General features: G+C 36.8%; 1 protein-coding gene across 14 annotated transcripts in view, besides 1 other annotated feature; it reads right to left on the reverse strand.

Annotated features, from left to right (window-relative positions):
• Window positions 1–27,008, reverse strand: part of PEX5L (peroxisomal biogenesis factor 5 like) — a 241,980-nt gene that overhangs the window by 207,721 nt on the left and 7,251 nt on the right. The gene's annotated exons all lie outside the window — the stretch shown is intronic.
• Window positions 11,677–12,176: an enhancer, noted in NCBI's record as "H3K4me1 hESC enhancer chr3:179732143-179732642 (GRCh37/hg19 assembly coordinates)". NCBI's record gives its function as "activates a minimal SCP1, AML or CMV promoter by ChIP-STARR-seq in primed H9 embryonic stem cells {active_cell/tissue: H9 hESC(primed)}" and the evidence as "EXISTENCE:reporter gene assay evidence [ECO:0000049][PMID:30033119]".

A 27,008-nucleotide genomic window follows, 5' to 3' on the forward strand; every position in this document is an offset into this window, starting at 1 on the left:
GGGGGGCATATTAATTTTTCCATCAAGAAATATATTTTCTTCAGTTTTAACTATAGCTAGAAATTCAGCTGCCCTAGAATTGTGTGAAGACTACCTCACAAATAGTATTTCACAAGAGAAGACTGAGATAATGGCAAATATAATAAACCTCTTCCTTGCAGAAAAAGTTAGGAAGTACAGTAAATAATCTTGCTAAATCAGGAAACAATTGCAATAACACAAATTGTCCCATAAAGATCTAAATTATCTTACATTTTCATAGCTTGTTAAATTTGGAGCGTATTTTATCTTCACATAAATTCTCATTTCACAGGGTAGGAAACGATTATAGATGAGACCAAGGAGTTTCTCTTTTCAAACAGAGAAAAGAACGATAAAAATCGAATTCATTCTGTGTTATTAACGGAGATGTAAACTGACACAAATCAGGTGAGGATTTAGAGCCTGACTTCAAATACCCTATTGAGACTTTTCTAAATAAAGCCAGAAGTCTTAGCAGCTCTGTAAACAAGGTGATTCAGAAAACTCAGTCTCTAAAGGGAGCTTAGCTCATTCTATCCTATCATGTGAAACATGGAAAACATCTGGGATTTAATCCATTATTACAACAATCTGTATTATGCTCCATGCTTATGTGTTTCTGAGTGAGGAGCATATTAGGTTTTGTAAAAGACTGTCTAATTTATGTGGGCTCAGACTGGGCACTAAAAAAAAGAAAAAAAAAGAAAAAAATAACCTGCCATAGATTTTAATACCAAATTGCAGAGAGCCAAAATATATTTATTTGACCAAATTTGTATTAGTGATATTTTAATTTTTTAAATAAAATGCCACAAACATATGTAAACTGGAAAATGATATATATAGGTCTTTCTTATTTCAACAATTTAATATAAAATAAAAATGGTTTAATCTCACATATCTAAATGCTTCAGAGTCCTCAGATCTTTGATTCAAGCTCAAGTATGATACAACCGTTCTTCAATTTGGAAAATATTTTTATTATTTTATAAGAAAGTGTCATGAGTTTAATCTAAATTTTTCAATAAGAACAAAAGGCAACTAAATAATAATGACATCTTAATGCTCCTTAAAAGGCTACTTTTGGCTTCCGTTGGCTACTAAGGTGATATTAAAGAATAAATAAATTTCTTAATATCCAGTAGACATCTGTTGGACAAATAAGTGAAGGGAATTCACACAATAGTGATTTGAACTTACAAATGAGCCATGTGAAGAAATGCTCTAGCAGCTTCTACTGACCACTGCTTTTATCCCAATCAATATCTTCATTGACTATTTATACAGGACGTCTTATGTTTGTCCCCCCGCCCAAGAGGTGTGACAATTTCAGTTATGAAGACAGAGTGATATTTGGAACAGCCTTTTCAATTTGGAAGCAATGTTATTTGAATAGTAAGAGTTTAGAAAGGTCATCCTACAAATTTATTTTTTGCCGTTGAACTGACTAAAAAAACCCCTGGCTGGGAAATTAAATCCTGAATATCTTACCAGTAGATTTCTATGGTCCTCAAACGTAATGTTTAGAGACCACTGATGCTAGCTACATTGATGGTCAAATTTAGTCAGACACATCAGATTATATTTTCACAGTTTCATATTCAAAATAGGCAAGCCAAATTTGTTTTTAGTTATTAGTGAAGAATATTTATTTTATGGTAAGCATTTGGTAAAGTTTGGAAATAAGATGGAAAGGAGACTCAAACTGCAGATAAATCTTTTTGGTCAAGCTAATGGAAACTATATGTGTTTCACAAAGTACTGAAAAAATGTCCAAACAGCTGGGCATACTAATATGAATGAAATGGTTCCAGTTCTACAGTGGGACCCAAACCCATACCAAACAAAATGAAATAGAAACTTGGTATGAACTATCTAATTTATTGTTTTTGTTTTGTTTTGTTTTGTTTTTTGCCGAAGTTCAAAGTCTTGCTATATAAATCAGAGCTACCCGGATTTATGTTAAAAAATGACATCCCTGGGCTCCACCCAAGATATACTGAAGTTAAACCTCTGGGAGGGGCCCAGGAAGCTGCACTTCCAAAAGCAGCCCCATGGGACTATTTATGCAGTCAAATTTGAACATCACTAATTTAGACCAAGCAGAATATCTAGTTGCCTTCACCAACTGTTTAATCTGAATCATGCTATAAGAATTTGAATAAAAGAAATGTGAAATGCATACTAGAATTAGTTAAAAATTGAGCATCTCATATTGATCTTAGGTAAAATTTTGCTTAGTATTTTTGTAAATGTGGTGTCTAGAATACATTAAAGTAACTTCACAAAATATGTCAGAGGTTTTAAATATATTTAAAAATTGAAAACTTAGCTCGTGAACACTTTCTATTATTGTGTTAATGTTTAAGCATAAGAGAGTAACTTTTTTTCTTATAACATATAGCAGGAATGTGTAATCTTTCTGACTGAAAGAGAAATAATGTATTAAAAATAGCATACGGAATGGTAAAATCATAATGAATTACTCTGCATCAAATTGCTACTTCTGAAAATAGCTAAGTGTAAATGGATTGATGAGCGGGGATTTTAAAAAGTTTTTATTTTTTTTTGTTTGTTTTTAGAGATAGGGTTTTCCTGTCACCCAGGCTGAAGTACAGTGGTACAATCATATCTTACTGTAGCCTCAAAATCCTGTGCTCAAGGGATCCTCCCACCTCAGCCTCCTGAGTAGCTATGACTACAATCATATGCCAACACACCTGGCTAATTAAAAAAATATTTTTGTAGGCTGGGCGTGGTGGCTCACGCCTGTAATCCCAGCACTTCGTGAGGCCAAGGCGGGTGGATCACGAGGTCAAGAGATCGAGACCATTCTGGCTAACATGGTGAAACCCTGTCTCTACTAAAAACACAAAAAAATTGGCCAGGCATGGTGGTGGGCGCCTGTAGTCTGAGCTACTCGGGACGCTGAGGCAGGAGAATGGTGTGAACACGGGAGGTGGAGCTTGCAGTGAGCAGAGATAGCGCCACTGCACTCCAGCCTGGGCGACAGAGCGAGACTCTGTCTCAAAAAAAAAAAAATTATTTTTGTAGAGACCAAGGTCTCACTGTATTTCCCAGGCTAGTCTCAAACTCCTGGTCTCAAGTGATCCTTGGCCTCTCAAACTGTTGAGATTACAGGCATGAGCCATTGTGCTCAGCTAGGTGAGTCTTAATTTATTTCTCAAAAAGGTATGCCTTTCTTTCTTATCTTTTCAAAATAGAAATTTTTACAAATGTGATATATCATTATTAGACATGAAATATCTAGGCATTAGAACATCCATTTTTACCATGTTTATCTTTTAGAAGTCTCCTGCTATTGTTATTAATTCAAACTTTTTCAATACTACCTCAATCAAGTGACACAAAAAAGTACCCAGTTTTCCACTGGAATAGTACTCTTTAATGTATTCATTGTTCTCAGGTTGTTCTGTGCTTCAACCTTGAGTAATTAACAAAACCTCTCTGTATTAATTGCTGATCCCTCCCTTGATGGCAGTCTATGACATTGTTAATTAATTGCTTCAGCAACCTTATTTCCATTCATACCAGGCCTTATATTCCCTTCGCCACTTCCTTCTTTATTATTATTTTTTTTGCTATAAATGTACACAAAACCTAATCCCTGAAGTAGTGAAAAAAAAAGTTTTAAAAGTTTTCATTATTTTTTTTTCATTTTTACAAAAAATATATAAGGTCATTGACATTATACAAGGTCAAAAGCACACCCTAATCTGTGGAAGAGAAACATACCTATTGCTTTTAAAAGTGTCAAAGTTAGAGGAAGTTGAGGTGAGGGCTTCTGGGAAGGAGAATATAGAAAGTGGAAACAAACTCTCCAATCCCATCTTTTGGTACCATTTCTTGTGAATTAGTCCGTTTTGACACTGCTGGGCAGTGGCATACCCAAGACTGGGAAGAAAAAGAGGTTTAATTGGACCTACAGTTCCACATGGCTGGGGAGGCCTCAAAATCATGGCAGGAGGTGAAAGGCACTTCTTACATTTTGGCAGCAAGAGAAAATGAGGAAGAAGCAAAAGCGGAAACCCCTGATAAACCCTTCAGATCTTGTGAGACTTATTCACTATCATGAGACTAGCATGGGAAAGACAGGCCCTCAAGATTCACTTACCTCCCCTTGGGTCCCTCCCACAACATGTGGGAATTCTGGGAGATACAATTAAAGATGAGATTTGGGTGGGGACACAGCCAAACCATACGATTCCACCCCTTACTCCTAAAAATCTCATGTCCTTACATTTCAAAATCAATCAGATCAAATCAATCATGCCTTCCCAACAATACCCCAAAGTCTTAACTCATTTCGGCATTAACCCAAAAGTCCACAGTCCAAAGTCTCATCTGAGACAAGGCAAGTCCTTTCTGCCTATGAGCCTGTAAAATAGAAAGCAAGCTAGTTACTTCCTAGATACAATGGGGGTACAGGTATTGGGTAAATACAGCTGTTCCAAATGGGAGAAACTGGCCAAAACGAACGGGTAACAGGACCCATGCAAGTCCAAAATCCAGTGGGGCAGTCAAATTTTAAAGCTCCAAAATGATCTCCTTTGACTCCAGGTCTCACATCCAGGTCATGCTGATGCAAGAGGTGGGTTCCCGTGGTTTTGGGCAGCTCCACCCCTGTGGCTTTGCAGGGTACAGCCTCCCTCCTGGCTGCTTTCACAGGCTGGCATTGCATGTCTGCGGCTTTTCCAGGCACACAGTGCAAGCTGTCAGTGGATCTACCATTCTGGAGTCTGGAGGACAGTAGTCCTCTTCTCGCAGCTCGATTAGGCAGTGCCCCAGTAGGGACTCCTAGTGTGGGAGTTCCTAGTGTGGGAGCTCCCACCCCACATTTCCCTTCCACACTGCCCTAGCAGAAGTTCTCCATGAGGGCCCTGCCCCTGCAGCAAACTTTTGCCTGGGCATCCAGGCATTTCCATACATCTTTTCAAATCTAGGCAGAGGTTCCCAAACCTCAATTCTTGACTTTTGTGCACCTGCAGGCTAAATACCACATGGAAGCTGCCAAGGTTTGTGGCTTGTACTCTCTGAAGCCACAGCCCTAGCTGTACATTGACCTCTTCCAGCCGTGGCCGGAGTGGTTGGGACACAGGCACCAAGTCCCTAGGCTTCACACAGTGCAGGGACCCTGGGCCTGGCCCATGAGGCCACCTTTTCTTCCTGGGCCTCTGGGCCTGTGATGGGAGGGACTGCCATGAAGGTCTCTGACATGGCCTGGAGACTTTTTCCTCATGGTCTTGGGGATTAACATTAGGCTCCTTGCTACTTATTCAAATTTCTGCAGCTGGCTCAAATTTCTCCCCAGAAAATGCCTTTTTCTTTTCTATCACATAGTCAGGCAGCAAATTTTCCAAACTTTTATGCTTGGCTTCCCTTATAAAACTTGATGACTTTAACAGAACCCAAGTTACCTATTGAATGCTTTGCTGCTTAGAAATTTCTTCCACCAGATACCCTAAATCATCTTTCTCAAGTTCGAAATTCCACAAATCTCTAGGGCAGGGGCAAATGCTGCCAGTCTCTTTGCTAAAACATAACAAGACTCATCTTTACTCCAGTTCCCAACAAGTGCCTCATCTCTTCTCCATCTGAGACCACCTCAGCCTGGACCTTACTGTCCATATTGCTATCGGCATTTTGGGCGAAGCCATTCAACAAGTCTCTAGGAAGACCCAAATTTTCCCACATTTTCCTGTCTTCTTCTGAGCCCTCCAAGCTGTTCCAACCTCTGCCTGCTTCCAAGTTCCAAAGCTGCTTCCACATTTTTGGGTATCTTTTCAGAAACACCCCACTCCTGGTACCAACTTACTGTATTAGTTCGTTTTGATGCTGCTGATAAAGACATACCCAAGACTGGGAAGAAAATGAGATTTAATTGGACTTACAGTTCCACATGGCTGGGGAGGCCTCAGAATCATGGCAGGAGGCAAAAGGAACTCCTTACATGGTGGCAGCAAGAGAAAATGAGGAAGAAGCAAAAGCAGAAACCCCTGATAAACCCATCAGATCTCATGAGACTTATTCACTATCATGAGACTAGCATGGGAAAGACTGGCTCCTGTGATTCAATTACCTCCCCACTGGGCCCCTCCCACAACACATGGGAATTCTGGGAGATACAATTCACGAAGAGAATATGGGTGGGGAGACAGCCAAACCATATCATCTTGCTTTTTCATTCAGCTCAAACAGTTCATTTTAGAATAAAATGTTTTGATTAATATGTTTGCATACTTCAGATTAACCAAATAATTGCTAAGGTTTAACCTCATTTCATTGTGTATAAACATAGTGTTGATGAATAAATGAAGATTTTACTCATCATTGCTATTTCTAATTGGTTAAAGGCCAGTTTTAAAAAAACTTATTTTTCCCACTCATTGGAGTTTGACCTTCATGTGTTATGCTCTCTTCTTCCTAATATTCTTGGTTACAAAATTGAGAGAGTCTGCATTTCTTTATGGATTCATTCACTAAACAGATAATTAATAACTACTATACAAGGGTTGCTTGTAGGGGTTGTTTTCAGATCACATTCCTTAACTTTTCTTATATTTTTCAATATTTGGTTCTATCTTGTTACACGTCCTCATAAGGCACAATAGAGTAATTAATTACTTTATCCCAACCAGGAATTAACAGAGGTATGCCTATCTACTCTCTTATCACTTATTAGATTATATTCAGACTTCCTCCAAAAAGCATGTGAAGCAGTTTTACAAATGTAAGCAATAAAACAAGCAAACAAAAATTTAAAAAATAAAAACAGAGGAAAGTCAGTAAAAATGATCAAGGAAGCAGAAGTTTGTAGGAACTCAGCATGAGTTACTGAAAAAATTTTTTTCTTTTCTTTTTTTTTTGTTTTTAGAAACAAGGTGACAGGGTCTCACTATGTTGTCCAGCCTGGACAGGAACTCTTGGGTTCAAGCAATCTTCCTGCCTCAGCCTCCTGAGTAGCTGGAACTATAGGCACCTGTAGTTCCATGCCTAGCTCTATTTTTCTTTTCAACACTTGTCATTCTGCTATATAGTTGTTTTTTTCCTCTGTCTCATCACCAGGATGTAACTTCAAGGGCTTAATTTAGTTCACCTCTATGTGTCTGGCCTATAGAAAGTGCTCAATAAATGCTTGTTTATGGCTGTGGTTCTCCATATTGGGTGATTCTTCCCTCTCCTCCACCTGCCAGAAACATTTGGTAGTGTGTAAAGACTTTTATTTATTTATTTATTTATTTGAGACAGAGTCTCACTCTGTTGCACAGGTTGAAGTGCAGTGGCGCGATCTCGACACACTGCAAGCTCCGCCTCTAGGGTTCATGCCATTCTCCTGCCTCAGCCTCCCGAATAGCTGGGACTACAGGCGCCCGCCACCACGTCTGGCTACTTTTTTTTGTATTTTTAGTAGAGACGGGGTTTCACCATGTTAGCCAGGATGGTCTCAATCTCCTGACCGTGTGATCTGTCTGCCACGGCCTCCCAAAGTGATGGGATTACAGGCGTGAGCCACTGCACCCGGCCTCTTTTTTTTTTTTTTTTTTTTCTGTAGAGATGGAGGTCTTACTATGTTGCCTAGGCTGGCCTTGAACTCCTGGGCTCAAGCCATTCTCCTGCCTTGGCCTCCCAAAGTGTGTCTAAAAATAGTTTTGATTATTATAACTGGGAGGGTGCTAGTGGCATCTAGTGGGTAGACAACAGGCATGAAGGCACTCTACAATCCAAAGGACAGTCCCCCAAAATAAAGAATTATGTGTCCTGAAGTCTTAATAGTGCTGAGGTTGAGAAACCCTGGCATACCCTCTACATAAATTACCACTGAGAAAATGTAACACGTTTGCCTGGAGAGGCATAATTACAGGGGTGGTTTATCAAATGACTACACAACTAATGTTTTCTCCTAGTTTTCTTACTTTTAAGGCAAATGAAATGAAAAGGTATCTAAAACTGCTCTTCTTCAGTAACTTCCTTCTCATCTAGTATCAATCTCATACATTTATCTATAGAAAACTGACATTTCATTAGAAGACTTCAATAATGGCCTCTCTTTTCATCTTTGCCATATCCCATTGCCCCAACTGGCTTTTCTTGTATATATTTTGTGGCATTGTTAATAATTTTGTGTAATTTGTTAAAGTATTTTTTAAAAACGTGCTTCTTGACATTACTCCTTCTTAATCTCACCTATGAAATGAGTTACATTTATAAAAGAGAACTGGCAAGGGGAAGTGGAAGGCGTGCTGGTCTGTTGAAGACCTGTGTTCAAATACAGGGTCTTCCACTTATTAGCAGGTTAATTGAGATGTAAGTGTGAGAGTACCTCACACACGGCCCAGATAGCGAAAGTCTACCACCATCCACACCACTTTCCCTTCCTTTCTATCAAAACTCTGTGAATTACATGAAACTGAATACACCTTGAAAAATATCCTTAGTGGTCGTCACCTAAAAGCAAGGTTAGCTCTCAATTACAGTGTATTATTGAAATCCAAATCATGAGTCTAACAATTTTGTGGCAGATGAAACTTCAGAACCAAGGTTGGATTAGAAGTTCCTTCATATCTTTTTGTTGCTAAGAGAAAAGCTTCTAGGCAGTAAACGACGATTTAGCTATTCAGAGCAGGTGGCTTCATTATTTTAAAATGTGTTAAATTACACTAATTACCAAAAAGGGCAGTGCAAGCCACTGTATATCGTAAGAAAACAGTAGCATGCTCCTCCAGAAAAGAAGACTGAGAAAATGCATGTGACTTACGGTTACTAAGATACTTGATCATTCAGAAGTTGCCAAGCATTTTACTAATGTAACCTTATCCGTCTTCTCCATCTTATACCATTATAGAAAAAATTTAAAAACGTGGAAAAAAGGAGCATTTTTAGTAGGTCTTTGTGATAATTTGCTTAAGTGATTGTAAATAAAATAGAATCTTTAATTTTGAATAAAAATGAGATATAGTTTGCTAATGCAGTCTTCTACCCCCATAACTGAAATATGAGGTTCCATTAGACAGTGAGCTATCCCTCACTCCCTCTTTCATCCCTTCCTCCTGCTCCCTTCCCTTTTTATCCTTTTCAAAGAAAGGACAACAGACCACATTTAAAGGGCTATTTTTTAAACTCAAAAAGACTGAAAAGAGCAAGAGTTTTTCAAAGGCAGAAAGCAACCAGGCACTGAACTTTGGAAAGAAGAACGACCATGAACACAGCTTCTTAGCACTGACTATCTGAGATGAAGCCATAAAATTCAGTATCCAACTTGGCAGCTGGTATTCTTATAGAAAGAAAACAATCTTGCCCCTTAATTTGATTTTTTCCTCTTATCATCTCACAGCAATTTGTCTAGTAGAAGGGAAACGTGTGGCCTAAAATAACTTAATCCTTAAATGGATTTATATTATCGTAATTCCATCTGCCCCAGGTTTGGTAAATAGCCCATCACACAATAGTGATACAATCTCTAATCAGGCTTTTAGAAACTACTCTGAGATGAACAGTGAAGAACAGGGTTCCTAATTTAATTTATTTGTAAATCTTATGATAATAGACAGATATTTTGCCTTATGTATATGTTAACGCTGTCTGTCAACCATGATCTATTTAGGGTTATTTGAAGACTAGCATAAAACAATATTGATTTAAGCAGAGTATTTTTGTATTCTTGCTTTTTATGGGAAAGAGGCAAATAACCCTCCCTCTTCCCATCAAAGCAAAATGATAACAGATTTTATTTTTTAAAAAAGGAAAGAAACAAACTGGTAGGTTTTGTTTTGGAGTCAGTGCAATTTAAACCCATTGTCTTCTTTAGAAGAATTATATGATTATAGCACTCAGCAAGGAGAATTGATGTAAAAATATTGACCCTGGTCTAGGTACTACAAAAAAGAGTTAAACTTAATAAGGCAAGTATGTAAGGTAATAGATAAAGGATTTCAATAACAACAAGAAAATATAAAGGTGAATGATACTTATTTTATGAAATATACAAGAGAATAATAAATTCCAGTATATGAAATATATAGCATACTTTTGAAGAATAAGTTAAATTACCTATGATAATCCATTTTTAATACCTATATCTTATTAGGTTGTCGACCTAATAGTAAATCTTTTCTAATTTTATATGATCAAACTATTCTTTGGGATGCAGAGTTAATTAAAAAAATACGTCTCTGAATCACACTGAAAAAAATCAAGTATTCATAACATGGAGCTTAAAAGAATAAAATTCTATTCACGATTATGTTACAAAGTGATTTTTAAAAAAATTATTCAGCAGTCTTCCATAAGAAACTGCAATGGTCCTCAGTTGAGCTTTCTGTAGTTTTGGTAGCAGTATTTCTTTCTGGATTGAATTCATTTTAGGAAAAGTGATCAGTTTTGCTGTCTTGGGTAAATCAGCATTTACGTTTATAAAACTGAACATGCACAGATTATTTTATACAAGTACAAAACTATAAACAATTGGTTCTTAATAATATGCCCTAGCAATGTATTACCCATGACACTTTTTGTAATGTTAAAGCATTAAATGCAACACATATAAGTCTTCATGTGTGTGCACACAAGTGTATGTTTAAAATTCTCAATACTTCGTTTTTCTCATACCCAGATTAGGTCTCAGTAAATCAAAATGATGGCAAAGAGTATATTTGGGCAACAGCAATATACAAGTTTACCATGCTTAAAATTCTTACTTCTCTTACAAAACAAAACAAATTCCTTAAACCAATGTTTTAATCTTTAATTTGTCATTTAAATACTTATTTTCTATAATATTTGGATCACTTGTGACTAAGGGCTCCATAGTCACAAGTGATCCAAATTAGTTGTGACTCTATCTGGTGTCTTCAACTATGGCTTGGAACTACAAAACATTTCTTTAGAATTGATGGCATTGCCAGAGAGGACTGAAGTTTGTATGTGATATGCTTAGTAGAACGCCTGGTATATGTAAGCATTCGAGACAATTTAGCTATTGTAATTACTACTCAAACAATAGGGATAAAATGTAATTTGTATTTCATAGTTCCCTGAGGGTATTCACCTCCACTTGTAGAAAGAATGCAGGAAAAACAACTGGAAGAAAATAATAATGATTGTATTATGACTGATTTTTAACTTTTTTCTACCTTTCTTTTTGTCCAAATTTTCTACAAGGAACACGTGTGACTTTCATAATAAAAAATCAAATTTTAATTTTTTCATTGCCCTTTAAATTTTGTTGAACCTCTTTAGCATGTCTGTTTGTCATATTCCATTGCAAACTGCAATAACTACAAGTATGGACTGAAGGCATTGAGAAGTCTTGGCACCATTGGGTGGGAAAGGGAGTAATGCATCCATGCTCATGCCCTTGAAGAGTATGAAAGCAGAATGAAAATTAATGAAATGTGTTTTATGTTTTCTGTGTCATGTCACTAGTTTCTCTTAGAAAATTATTAGCTGAGGAAGGAACTATCCTGAATTCTGTGCTTCAATTAAGGGACAATGTCTAATGCACATCACCTTAATACCAAGAAGAGATTAAAGAATGCAGACACAGGAGATCGAGACCATCCTGGCTAACACGGTGAAACCCCGTCTCTACTAAAAATACAAAAAATTAGCCAGGCGTGGTGGCGGGCGCCTGGAGTCCCAGCTACTCCGGAGGCTGAGGCAGGAGAATGGCGTGAACCCGGGAGGCGGAGCTTGCAGCGAGCCAAGATCGCGCCACTGCACTCCAGCCTGGGTGACAGAGCGAGACTCCGACTCAAAAAAAAAAAAGAATGCAGACACAAAACTCCCAGGTTACAGGAAAGTAGGGCTATTACTTTCATTAAAACTTAAAGATAAGCTTAGAGTTTTAGTCTCTATAAAGCATGTCTAAAGTTTAAATCTGGAAAATTGTTTGGAAAAACAAAATAAACCACGGAAAGTAGTGTAAAAGAAGCTAAACTTTTAAGTCATATAAAAACAGTTTTAAAATTCATTATAAAAAGTGTGTGTTCTATTTTATATGTATAATACTACTGGAAAAAAAATAAGGCAAGTCTCTTTCCACTAAATTTTTTCTTTTTTTCTAGCAGAGGAACAAAGAAAAACCACAAACGAACCCCGAAATCTGAATTGGGATTATTATGGTGATTTCGATCTTGCAATTGCAGCTATTTCACCAAAGGCTTTTATTTCATCCTTGCACTGTACTTACCATAAGATGCTTGCTACATGTAAACATCAGTACCTATTTCTGTTATTGCAGAACCATTTTATTCAGCACTGACATAGAGCATAAACATGAATAAGGTATATTCTTTTCAAGCAAGAAATGTGAGAGGTAAACACAAATAGCAATAACATACTTGTAAAAGTGCTCTGAGAAAGAAACAGATGAAGTGCTGTGGGGATTACCGGCAGAAAGGGCTCTGTCTCATTCCTTAGCAGAGCCTTAGAGAAATGTTTTGCTGGAAGATGGGTTGGCTCCGTAAACCCCTTGAGGACAGGAACCACACCTCATTCATCTTTGTATCCCTTCCTGCTAACATTTGATGAATGTTTAAAACACATTTTTTAAATAATATTGTATACAAGGGAGTTGACTCTGGAGCCAAATTTCTGGTTCAAATCCCACCTCTGCTAAGTTAGCGAACGAGCTACCAAATTTTAATTATATTTTATAGAAAACTTGTTTTCTCCAAAACGAGGTGTGTGTGTGTTTTAATTCTAATGTCATGCTCTTAGTATAACAGAAGAAAAATGTTTCCTATTGAGGACTCCATTCATGGTAGAAACATCCATAATTGTCTTACATGGTGAGAGAGTCTTTAAAATTATCATCATTGTATATTATTAAAAACTAAAACAAAGCAGTATCCCTGATGTCTAATTATAGTGAATTGTTCCTTAGTGTTTTCATGGACTTCTGGGAATTCACAAAATAAACAAACTGAGAGGATGGCCATGGTTATTCATGAACTAGAATTTCAGAGTTAGAGAGGGCCTCAGACCATTCTATATATTAATCTCCTCACTATTGGTGAGGAAGCCAAGCTATAGAGAAGACTTAAGTCAGAAGAATGAAGGGCAATGATAGAAGAGATTTGAAACTAATTTTCTTGACTTTTGTCTTGATACATAGGAGGTACTTCATAGAATATAATAATATATAACATATAATATATAATATTTAATATATTATATATAATGTATAATAAATAAACAAAAGTGTAAAAGTAGGATGAATAATCAACACATGAAATTATGAAAAGGCATAATGGGATATTTGGGTTTAAACTACAGAGACAGAGAAATAATGGCTGATAGTGATTTAGGTCACAACAAGTGAGCATGACTGATTTGGGGAAAAAACATTCTTTTCCACAAAGAGAAGTAAGTGCTGTAACACCACCACCACCACCACCACCAACACTCAATATCTTATCTTTCTGTTTTTAATTCTATCCTTAATTTTATTCTAATGTGTTAATCTTATCTCCAGAAAAATGTGGCTAGGTCATACCATGGGGAAGGATGACTTTGATCAATGATTATATCATAATACTTAAAGTTTTATTAAATCCTTACTGCTATCTCTAATGTTTAAGTTAGCCTCCTATTAATTGGATGTCAGCTCAGTGCTATGAAATATTTTTATATATCTATCTCTCTATATATGTGAATGTTTAAAATCATGCCCTTGTCTTTAAGAAATTTCTAATTTAAAATAGATGAGATTCACAAGGTACTAACACAGTTCACCTATCTCTGCAACTGACCTTTAATTTGGTTGTTTAATTTGTCCTTGAATATACCTGGTTCAATTATCACGCAGGAATGAACAATACAGAAAATTCTTGCTGATTTTTATCACAAAAGAAGTAGACATGTACCAGCAGTGCAGCTGGAGCCAGAGGGGCTCCAGAGGTGACAGTGCTCTCAATAAATGCCTGACCTTGACCTTCACCCATGAAGTGAATGATGCTGAACTTCCAAGAACTCAGACAGGGTTGCAGATGGATTTTATTACCTTTCTGATGTAAATCTATACTTAGTTGTAAAGTGTTATTCTTAAATGTTCCTACTTATTAATTTAGCTGATTTATTTGCATTTATATTTGAACATTTCTTGCAAATGTAAATAGCTTTCCATTTATGCTCTTGATCATTTGCTTTGTCAATAAACATACTTAATTCCACAGGAATCCTAAAGAACAGAGCATTATAGATTCATGAATCCAAGTATTTAATTTCATATTTTATTGCTAACTTTTTATGTAAAAAGAGTGAGTAATGTTCATTAACACATCATATTTATTTATGAAGTTATATTTTCATGATGAAATTTTATACTAGCTTAACATCTATACAAGATTTTCTCTAGTGGGTAAATTGCTGTCTCATGATAAAATAAAAAAAGATCTGTTTACAGATTTGAGTCTAAATTTTGGTCTAAAGGAAATCGGGAGAACCACTACGCCACCATATTTTTGACTTATGAATAGCTTGAAATGGCTGTTTACCAAACTTAAATGTTTACACATCCCCAGACGGAAATATCTTTTATGATTTTCTCTCTGCTGTTTTGGGAAAGGGACATTTTCCTCACATAACATCTAGGTTTTGAAATAACACTGGAAAAAAGAATATATGGATTACAGATTCAAGCCCCAGGATGCCTTTGCAAGTTTCTCTCTCTTATACATTCCTAAAATGTATTTTAAAGCCGTTATCAGTGTGAACTATGTGAAAAGTTGCCATTTTTAATAGAGATTTTAAAAACCATTCTATTTGATTGGGGACTATCTTTCAATATTTAATTCAAAACACTATACATATGACCTATTAATTTACTCTCAAACTGAGTGTGTACTTCTGTCACTCATGTACAACTGAGCCATATTTTCAAATACCCATTTTCCATATACTTTATATATAATTATATTTCCTTATAAAAATTATTTATTTCTTTATTTTATTTAAATCTGATCTTCCTACATAAGTTTGTGTCTTTTCAGCTAACTTTTAAGTTCCCAAATAAGAGGGAATATCATAAAGCTTTGTTTCTGTAAGAAGATAAGATGCTAAAAAATATTTGATAATGAATGAATGAATAAGTATTTACTTCTATAAACATGACTTGGATAAGCACTTCTGAGAAAAGGTTGAGGTTCAGAGAAAGGAATCACGATTCAAAATAAAGAAAAATTAAGATGAAGAATGAGGACTCAGGGTAGGTGGATATCAGATATGCTGAAGAGATCTATTTCTTATTCTGCTCTGTGTTTCTCAGATTTTATTTTAGCACCCACAGTTTGGAAATCAGATAAGCTTTCCTGGGAGTATAGCCAAAAGGCAAAGTGGATTTCAGCAATTTCTATTTATTATGGTTGTACAGTGTGTCAGGAACTGAATGGAACATATACGTTACATTAGAACATCCTTTCCCACCAAAGGCAGTGTTCTGGTTCCTCATCTATTAATATATACCATATACCTCATATGAACAAAAGTAAAACATACGTTGTTTCATATAATATTTTTATACATATATATTATGTCACGATTAGTTTTATATTTGCAATTTTTCCATCATTTGGTAGGTCTGTGTTAACCTTTCTATTGAATGGGCTGGAACCATTTTAGCCAGTGAATATCTCATGTAAGAATATTCTAAAAGAAATAACACAGAATGCAACATAGTCTTGCTTTACCACTAACCGGCTGATGACAAGTAACTAACAGTCGGTGCCTTGGTTGGTGATATGGCCAGTCCTTCTGACTTGACAATGCAGTTATGAATATAAACTATGTTATAAATGAAAACATATTTTTTGAAGTGAAAATCATGTTAAAGATAGCGCCAATATTTATGGCTGTGCAAGTCATTTCCAAACCTGCCTTTCATTTTATTCGTTTTTAGAGAGGGGAAGAGCTTCTGTTGGCCTGGGAACCTTGTTCATTCTAATAGGAGAGTGGGTGCTGCTCTGAAATGAAAAATGACACACACGAATTTGCAGAAAGCTTGAGGTAAACATTTAGACAGCTCACACGAAGCCTTTCACCCAGGCCTGCCTGTCTTACTGGGTGACATCCAGTTGCTATGCTTCTCAAAGGGCTCCCCCTGCCTCTGAGATGGCTCTCTAAGGTTGCTGCAGATTCAATTTGTTCAAGTTGTCTGTTTTTTGTTGTTGTTGTTGTTTGTTTGTTAAAATCCAGAACAGCAAGCCTAGAGTTTTCGGGCCACTCTATTAAAGGCATCATAGAGCCACAGAAATCAATACAATCAACTTTATTTCACAATCAGGTGTGAATGGTCAATATGCAGAAATCCATTTCTTCTAGCTCCGTGTATTGGTGTCTATTTTAATTGTGTGCATAAAGGAGTGGAACGTGTGAAGGAAGTGTGCCAAACAATCTTCTCCATTGCTCAGTAGGGTAATGTCTTGTAGGCTGTGTTTAGGGCCATGGAATAGATCATAAAGGTTTAAGGCCATATAGGGTCACAGTTGGAAATAAAGTCAATAATTTGAACTCCAGGTCTCTGGGATTTTATGTTTCTCTGTAGACTGTAATTTACTCATATAATCGTGCTTACTTAAAGAATGCATATATAAATGCATAAATATTCCTCCCAGTCAACCAACTTTTTCTGATCTCCAGTAAATCAATGTTTGCCAAGAACTTTCACTGTCCCAAGGTATTAAATTTGCTAACATTCTATAAAAGTGTGCTCCTGGCTCTGGTTGGAATTTTAGCCTCTGGTTTCTACTTCTGACTTATGAGGATACCTCATTTTAAATGTGCAAACAGGCAATTTCAGTGATTTAAGGTAGAAGCATACCTTGAGGTTCTAGTTTCCCATTTTTATTTATCATCATATTTCCTCCTTCAATTCTCTCTAAGTGGGTATACCAAAGGCAATTCACAATTCTGCATCTAATATAACTGTCAATGAAAATATTTGTATTTCCTTGGGACTGAGGAAATCAGAGAGATAAAAGGAAACAGAAATACTTCCCACTGCAACTAACTTATCCCATTAATTAGTTTGAGGGTATAATTTCCATATGATCACCTTATTGTAGAATTTTAAATGATGGGAAGTAGTGGTCTCTGTTTTGATGAGATAATCTTTATCAACTGGATAATGTCCCCCCTCAATAATATAAGGATATTTCTAAAGCAGAGAATCCAGTATTAAAACTTGGCAACAAATCTGTGAATGTTCTTATCGACAAGAGTCAGAAATCAAACAATTAGGCTTCTTAACGAATTAATGTACACTTCAATTTTCAAATTTGAGATGGTCAGAGAGATTAAGAAACTTGTCTAAGGTCACACAGGTAGGAATTGCTACAACTTGGATTAACATCTCATCGAAAATTTCCCCCATGTCTTCAAAACCAGAAGAAAAATATGAAAATAATCTTCTCAGTCAAATAACGCCATGATATTCATTTCGCTTACAATTATATAATCCATGGGGATAAATAACAGATGATTATCATTTCATATAATGAGCAAATCATGCAATTAATTGATAAAATAAAAATTTAAACCAATACAACAAAATATTAGAACTAAGTAGAAAAAGTAGAATAAATATAACATTGGTCTAATTTTATCGTAAAGTTAGATCAACAGCTTCTCCCCCAATAAAATCTAATTTTACACATATATCCTATTTTACATATATCTTATATATAAGATTTATACACATGATAAACTCTAGATACTATTTAAATTGCTTTTTTATTACATTAAGTACTATCTCAAAATGTTAATTTATTAAAGTTTAGTTTAGAATAATAAAATTATTTTACTGGGAAAAGCTTCAGATTCTACCAGTCCTTTTGTGATGTGAATGAGAAAACTGAAACCCACAGAGATAAAGTGATGTTTCCCAAGTCATATACAAGTTAGAGCAGAAACAGGCCTGGGATCCAAGTGTTTTGCCTGTTGGCTTATATTCTTTCTTTTGTTCTTCACACTTGCCTTAAAAAAAATCAGACAGGAATTTGAATGCATTACTCAAGAATAATTGATTTTTTAAAGGGAATAGTTCATTTTCATAATAATTTAATTTCATCTTCAAAGATGCTAGATAAAATGCTTAATCTATACTAGTCTATGGGACTCTTCAGAAGTTTAAATCAAACCAAGCAGACTAATTAAGGCTAATTAAAAGATGAATTTGTTCAACAATTCTTTATTTAATCCAACATGTATTGCTTGCCCACCATGACTAGGCTCTGTGCTAGGTACCAGGGTTGAAAAGATGAACAAGATACAGCCAAGAGAACCACCCCACCAAGAAGTAGGGTAAGGGGAGCTGAGACAGAGTTCTGCACAGGCTCAGGGTGCTATGAGAACATGAGGAAGGCATCTAACCCAGCCCTGGAGGTTTACGGAAGACTCCTTATAGGAAGTGATACCTTCAGCTGGATTTTGAAGGATAAGCAAGGATCGGCCAGGTAGGTGAGAATGTGGGTGACCCGGTCAGAGAGAACATCACTAGAGAAGGCCAGAGGCATGGAGGCACAAGTCCAATTTGGGGACATGTTCAAAATCTAGTAAGGTTAGAGTTTGGAGTTCTTATGAGGACATTGTAGATGAGAAAACAGCAAAGTAGGGCTTATAAGTCATATATTATTGTGGAGGCCAGTGTTTTTCATACTTCAGTGTGCATTAAGTTCAACTGTGGAATCAGAGTCCCAGGCCTCGTTCTCAGGGAGCCTTATTCAACAGGGCTGCAGTGGGGTCCAGGAATCTACATTTCTAACGAGCATTCTAGACAATGATTCTAAAGATGATTGCACTTAGAAACACTATTATAGATGATGCTTAACATGAAAGGACTTCAAATAAAAGGATGATATGAGAGAGGAGCGGATGACTCCCAGGTTTCTGACTTAGGTAATTGAGTGGATGGTGGTGCTATTACACAATCCAGAAAAATAGGGGAAGAGGTAGGCCTTACGGAAGTTGGTACAGTTGGTGGTGGTGACAGTGAGTCCATATCTGAACATGTTGACTTTGAGTTGGAACAGGTACAGGTAGTCAGTTAGTGAGACTGGTGTTAAGTTGGGGAGATGTAACTGGTTTGTGGACAAATATTGAGGATGAGCATAGATGCTTAGTTACTTTAACATTTCTTTATCTGTTTAAGCATTTATTAAAACACCAGAATAATGTGCAGTATAAGCCACAGGTAAAATAACAATTTTGGACAAATGAGACCCAAAAACACATGTATTTTAACTCTTAAAATAGAAGATGGGAGTAATGCTTCCTTGATATAACACAGAACATTTAATTTCTATTACTTATTGATTCTGAAACCAGAATATAATCACATGAATGTGCTAGGAGTTGATTTCTAAAATATTAATTTTAACAAAATCAGCTATGAAAGAAAACATGATTTTTATTTTGGTATTTTAATTTTACATTGAATAATTTGATCAATGCTATCACATTCTGATTTTTATAATGTTACTTCTTAGTCCTTCCACACTCCTAAATTAATTGAAAGTTTAAAATTAATTTTAAGACATTAGGGAACAAATGTTCCATTTAAAATAGATATTTTAATATGAATTGAGATTAGTAAAATAAGAGCTGTGCATATTTCCTCCACAATAATTTTGATCCTGCCATTTAGAAGTAGTTTCCTTTCAACAAAGCTGGTGTTTTCTCTTCCTGCATAAATGGATGTCTAAGATCATAAGAAATTAAGAGAACTCCCTCAAATAAATAGCAACGGATTTTTCTCAAGTAAAGTCTTGTATTTAAAAGAGGGGTTAATTTAAAGGAGGTTAAAACATTAAAGTAATACATGAAACACTTGGTTAACTACCTTATTAATGTTGAATGTTTTACAATAGCAAAGTACAAAATAAAACATAAAAATATTTAGGTAAGTAATAGAATTTTGAGTGGGGATATTTCAGCTTGGTTTATACATACAATCAAGATAATATTGAGGATCTTGAAAAGTGTCTCCACACTGGGCTTCTGAGCTCCGATTAATCCCATAGCCTCAATATTATTCTGGCCTTCTGGGCATTTCTGATTCTAGAGGGGATTTCTGCATAAAAGATGGGTGTTTTGTGACTGTTCTGTACTCCACTAAGCAAGTGCACTCCATCCTACACAAAGGGGCTCTCAGAGTATTACATGCATAAATGTTACAGGTGTTGAGTGCAGAGTATCGGTAAAGCTATTTGGATTCTACATCTGTGTTGAGTAAGTGGTAGAAAGAATGCATCAGTGATTTCTACCCTCCAAGGCCACCGCAATGTCCAGAAAACTTGCAAAATCATTTTATCTCCTGTTAGTTGAGTCATTTTGCAGCGGCTGAGGTACCGACATGGAGATATGGCCTGAATTTGCTATGCAGGCGCAAGCAATAGAGTGAAAAACAGAAGACCCAGATTCTACTCCTCAGTCCCCAATTGATTTGACAAGGAAGTCTGGGGGAGGTGGTCCAACCTGTATGCTGCATTCTCTTTATCAGCATGACAGAGATAAAATATCTATCTTTTGCCAACCTCACTGAGGCACTCTAAAGATTAACTTTTACGAACATCTCACTGTCACAAAAAGTGACTATTGTAGCAGAGATATCAGTATTATATCACAAATAAGAATCTGCTATATCAGGGATAGCTTTACAGGAAAATGTCTTATTTGCAGAATGAGGAGACATACGGCAGCATGCTCCCAAACAGCACGTCCTCTGAAGAATTAGGAGAGGCTGATCTTTGGCTTCGTAAGAAATATCAAGCTTCTCGATGTTAGCAAAATTTTAAAATGTATTTTCCATTATATGGTTAGTAGTAAACTGGGGGAATCGGCCCTGACCAAGCACTCACAGATGTATTGTATCACTAATTAGAGGCCTGATAATAATAGAATCCTAGAGCTGGAAGGAAAGCCAGTAAGCCTTTAAAGAGACCATCCTCTATAAAAGCCTTAGCAAACACATCCAATTTGTGTTTGAATATATTTGGTAAAATAGAGCTAATTTATTCACCTTTCACCACTCATCTACACACACACACGCACACACACAGAGAGAGAGAGAGAGAGAGAGAGAGGGAGAGACTAGCTGCTTGGTAGAGGAGACCCCCTTCAGAGCCATACCTAGCTCCTTGGTAGAGGAGACCCCCTTCAGAGCCATACCTAGCACCTTGGTAGAGGAGACCCCCTTCAAAGCCATGCCTATGGTTGTGCAGATTGGCTGTGCAAAGATGTCTGGGTGAGGGGGCACTATTCAGGTCTGAAATCCAACCCTCTACCTCACATACCAAGTGTGTGCCTGGGTGTGGGATTGTGTTCCCCAGGAAAAAACACAGTCTTTGTATATTTGGTCCACCCAGAAAGGGTACATTTTTATTATTTGCACAAAGGTAGTACATGTCACTGGCACTGGTATTTCTTGTCTCCTTTTAGAAAGACCTCTGTGTTGACATGGGATTTTTGAATCTTCTTAGCCTGTAACTGAATGGGAAGAATCACTCCTCCGTATTTCGGGCTCACATATAAGAGTAACTGTGCCCGGCACTTTGGGAGGCCGAGGTGGGTGGATCACGAGGTCAGGAGATTGAGACCATCCTGGCTAACACTGTGAAACCCCGTCCCTACTAAATATATATATATATATATATATATATACACACACAAAAAAAAAAAAAATTAGCCGTGCGTGGTGGCAGGCGCCTGTAGTCCCAGATACTCAGGAGGCTGAGGCAGGAGAATGGCGTGAACCCAGGAGGCGGAGCTTGCAGTGAGCTGAGATCATGCCACTGCACTCCAGCCTGGGAGATGGAGCGAGACTCCGTTTCAAAAAAAAAAAAAAAATAGAATAAAAGGAACCCATGGTTCAGATAGGTGCACAAAATAGACAAGTCCACTGGATGACCATTGTATGACCATTGTGAGTACAGCTCCTTCCTTGGATCTGATGTGAAAAGCTGCATGTGTGTGTGTGAGAGAGAGAGAGAGAACTCACATGTGCATGCATGTGTAACTGGGGAGGTCAGGGCTGGGGGTATAAGCAACCCTTACAACAGGGTATAAGCAAATGACAGCCTCCGACAGCAGTTCCGACATCATAACGTTCTGTCATAGCCTCAGTTGTCTCAGGGGTGTGTGTGTTAGCATTATTATCAAAATTGTTGTTGACAACCAGCTGAAGTGGTGAAGAGGTGTCCAGAACTTTAGAGGAATGGCTTCTAATTCCACATGATCTTGGCTGGTTAGAGATACAGTTAGAAACCATTAGAAGAATCTATTATATTTCTAAGTCTGCAGTCCTAAATTGTCCTCCAGATTTAAAGAGGTTGAACCCATTAAACTGCGTAGACTGCTTTGACAGTGGAGTGTTGGTTAATTACAGTGGCAATCTAATTATAAGGTTTATAAGGTTTCCCTGTAATTGATTTCATTTCAAGTGTGTAGAAACTTCACTTGATATGCATTTGTTTCCACAGCTCATGGGAATAGACCAGATCCTGAGGCTGTGTGTATCTTAGCATCACGGAGACCATCTCAACTGCACTTTGGAGTCCTTACTCAGGACAGTAAGGACTCTTCTGAGTATTTCACATTCATTCATTTAATCATCAAGTCATCTATTCATTCAATAAGTACTATGTAAAGAGTATATACTTTGCACTACTAGTCTCCAAGAATATAAAGATGTATTGGATAAAGTCACTGCCACAGATGAGCTTACAAGAAGTTGGGGAGACTGACAAAAATAAATAATTAAAGCTATATGTTAATTATGGTATTGTATTATCAATGCATGTAAGCTGCTAAAGAAGCATCAAGAAAAACATCCTTAATTCTGCATTGCTGGGAGAGGGGTGGTGGTGCAGAGCAGCACTCACTGAGGGGGTAACATTTGAAGGGAATAGTGACGGATGAGTAAACATTCAGAGCGTATGTAAGGCAAGGAATTGAGGACGAGGAAATAAAAAAAAACTAGAACTGTGAGAAAACAAGAAAAGTAAGCATCTGCCACTATTGTGAACAACAGGTATAACAGGCACGCCGTGGCTAAACTCTTTATTCCACAGATAGTATGTTAAGAAACATTTTGGTAGCTCTATAAAAACATAAGAGCTAGTATAATTGATAAATTATTATATTCTAAGACCCTTATACCTTCATTATCTCATCTAGTCCTTATGAAGTCATCACAATGTGTGGGTACTTTTCTTATCTCCCTGTCACAGGTGAGGAAAGCGGGGGTTAGGGAGGATAAGTTCAAGCAAAATCATAGACACTATGTGGTGAAGCCATGGTTTGAACTTGGGGCTGTTATGCTGGAGCAGAAGCTCTTAAGCACTATGTTTTGTTCCCTCTTCAAATGTGAGGAATTATTAAGCGACGTATGATGAATGTCATCAAAAGCCTTTCAGCATTCTTTTTTTTTTTTTTTTTTTTTGCAATTTGGGAATAGGCAATTAATTGAAGAAATCTGAGCCATCAAGACCTAGCCCTCAGTTTCCTCACATGTGAAATGACCAAGTTGTGCTATGTGAACTCTAAAGACCTTTATACCTCCAAGATTCCATTTTAATTTAATCTTTCCTCAAGCTTAAGAAGACTTTCTTTTTGTCTTACATAAATCTTCCTAAAGGGTTATATAAGAGACTGTATATCAATATTAATGACTCAAATGCACAGGGCATCTTGATTATCATCATCCTTTGCATGAATATGAAACATGAATGTGCCCAATATTTCACAGTAAATTCCCGCACATGGAGGAAAAAGATGTTCTTATCATTAAGGTATATGATATGTATTTTAATTCCCTAATTAATTACTAAACTCTTTATATGGCTCTTTCTAATATCTCAAAAAGGAGTGAGCAGTAGATGGACATTGATCAATGATAGAGGAACCATTCTGCTCTTCTCTGCTACATGATTTAATAAGCCAATATAAGCTAGTTCTACCATATTCTCTTACAGTCCTGTCTCTAATGGCAGGTAGTACTAAATAAACGCAGGCTTAAAGAGAATTATTTCCTTTCAACTCTTATCTCTCAAGCCAGGCTGGACTCTAGTCAATCAAGATAGAGACCAAGGTGTCTATTTTACATTCAAGCAATATCTGAACATGTTACGGTGGACATTCACTTAAAAAAAACTTCCCCAAATCTAAACTCTCTTTCTACATTTGGGAAATTGCCCACACTCTCAGTCTTGGTGAGAAGCCAATATGCACTTTTACAGACTATCTTGGAGCCCCGGTATGAACGTGTGGCTCAGCTCCACCAATCAGCCGTATCTGCCCTCCATTTTGAAATAGGATTTTGGACACAGACAAGTAGCCATGGTAGAGAGTCCATCCTGGCAGTAAGGGCAGCCATTGAAGCTGTAACATGGGGTTTCTGTGGGCAGCAGCAGCAGCAGCAGCAGGGTAGTTGCGGAACCAGTGTCTCAGGCCTGCTGAGTCAGGGTGCAAGCTCTGCTGTTCTTTGTACTGTGAAGGCAGCAGTGGGGTCCACACTGACCTGTTCAGGGCTTGACTTGGGCTCTGCCCCTGCCTGTTCCCTGGACCCTTCACCCCTAGCCTAGATCTAGAAGTCTGCCAGTGCCCCAATGTACTTTTTTTCCAACACATTATTTATTTTGAAATAGTCTCTTAAGCTTACAGAAAAATTACAAAAAGAGTACAATGGACTCCCATAAACCCTTTCCCCAGATTTAGCAGTTTTTAATATTTTGCTGTATTGCTTTATCATTATCTTTCATTCCTTCTCCCTCCCTCTCTCTCTATGTATATATACACACACACATGCATACACATAAGATTATTAAATATACACACCATGCTTTTTATCACTTCATACAGTACGTGTATGTCCTATGAACAAGGATTTCTTTTTAACATAGCCACAGTATAGTCATCCAGTTCAAAAATGTAAAAACAAAAATAATACTGATCAAAAGTCCATATATGAGTTCTGGTCAATAGTGTGTGCCAAGGGTGTCCTTATAGCAATTTCCTTCCTAGCCCAAGATCCAGTCTAGGATTATATATTGCATTTAGTTGTCATATCTCTTTGGTCTCCTTTTAATTTGTAACAGCTTCTCAGCTTTTTCTTGTTTTTTCATGACATTGATATTTTGGAAAAACACAATCTGCTTATTTTATAGAGTAGCCTTTATTTTGGGTTTGTCTGTTTTCTCATAATTAGACTCAGGTTGTGCATTTTTGGCATGATTATTACCTGAGTGACGCTGTCTCTTTTTCAGAGCATCATGTCCAGAGGCACATGCTCCATCTGTCCATTATTGGTGATGTTGATTTTGATGACTTAGTTAAGGTGTTATCCAATTTAGCCATTGAAAAGTTCCTTTTTTTCTTTTGTAATTTATGGATGACATTTTGATGCTATGTAAATACCTTATTCCCATACTGCCTTCCTCCTCAGATTTAACATCCATTGATCATTCTTATTTGAGTCACTTTTTACTCTGGAGATTGCAAAATGGTAATTTTTAAATCTTCATCATTCTTTCTATGCTTATTCAAATGGCCAGTCTAGTCAGTCCAAGGAGAAACAGTGGTGAACACCTTTAGAACAAGAAATGTTCTAAATTTCTAATTCAATTTTTCAGGGCACTTTATTTCACTTGTAAAACATGCTTACAGGCCGTATTTTCTTCCATTGTTAGCCAAATGACTGCTAAAGCAACATATAAAATATCAAATAGTTATACTACAACTGAAAAGCAGAAAAATATCAATTTTAATGACTAAATGCCAAACATCTAGCTATTTGGAAACTGTCAGTGGTTTATTGTAATATTTATTTTCATGTTGATTTTTGAATGTAATAAGTCTTAAAATAGAGAATTATGGTGTAATGAAAATAATATACCAGGGTAAGGCAGATTTCACTTCAGCACTAGCTCTGTTAACTAACCAGTGTGGGACTTTCTGAGCAAGTCTTCTAACTTTTCTGGGCCTCAGTTTCCCCATCTGTGAGATGAGAAGGTTGAAGAAAACTTTTTCAAAGGTTCTTTAAACAAAGGATTCTGTGACCTCAAAATTGAACATTAACACCATCGTTGGAGACATAAGGAACTGTTGACCTAGAATATTTTAATCATCACATTTAGATTTAAGATTATTTTGGTATAAAGACCAAATACCTGTGAAATAACTCTCAAGTGATTTAGAGAATAGAAACATCAGAACACTTTATAGAACAATTTAATATAAAGAAGCTAATGCACTTTTAGGCTGTCTGAATAGGTATCTTTCCCAAGAGACAGATAATCTCGCAGTGGTTGGAATTCACCTGATCACATCTCTAGCAGTGTGTCTTGTTTGGAGGGCCATATTTTCGTGCAGCCTTTAAAACATCAGAAATATCATTATGAGAAATGCTTGAGTGCACTGTTTATCTTGGAGGAGAAAAGATTTAAGGGAATGGGGACATAATAGTTCTCTAAATAAATAGTTTATTTTGTTATTTTTTAATAGAGACGGGGTTTCACCATGTTGGCCAGGCTGGTCTCGAACTCCTGACCTCAAGTGATCCACCTGACTCAGCCTCCCAAAGTGCTGGGATTAGAGGCATGAGCCACCTCTGTTTGTTTGTTCTCCAAACAAACGAATTGTTTTGAGAACTATTATGTCCCCACTCCCTTAAAATAAATTAGAAATAAATAAAACTATGTATTTATTTATTTGTAAATAAAACAAATAAATGTGTTAGGTGAAGCATCATAGGTTTGTTGTGCATTTTTCCAGAAGGAAAAACTACAACAAATTGGCTGGTCGTTATGGAGTCAATATAATGAAGACATTTTTATTCAAGTATAGTTGTGATAGCTGCTCTTTCCAGCTCTTCTTTCAGGGACTTCGTCTTGCCTCTGTGATGTCAGAAAGCTACCTAGGAATTAAGCTTTCTGCTAGGGTCTCAGCTCAATAGATCACACATTGTTTTTTACCTA

This window comes from Homo sapiens, chromosome 3 (assembly GCF_000001405.40).
Source record: "Homo sapiens chromosome 3, GRCh38.p14 Primary Assembly".
NCBI lineage: Eukaryota > Metazoa > Chordata > Mammalia > Primates > Hominidae > Homo > Homo sapiens.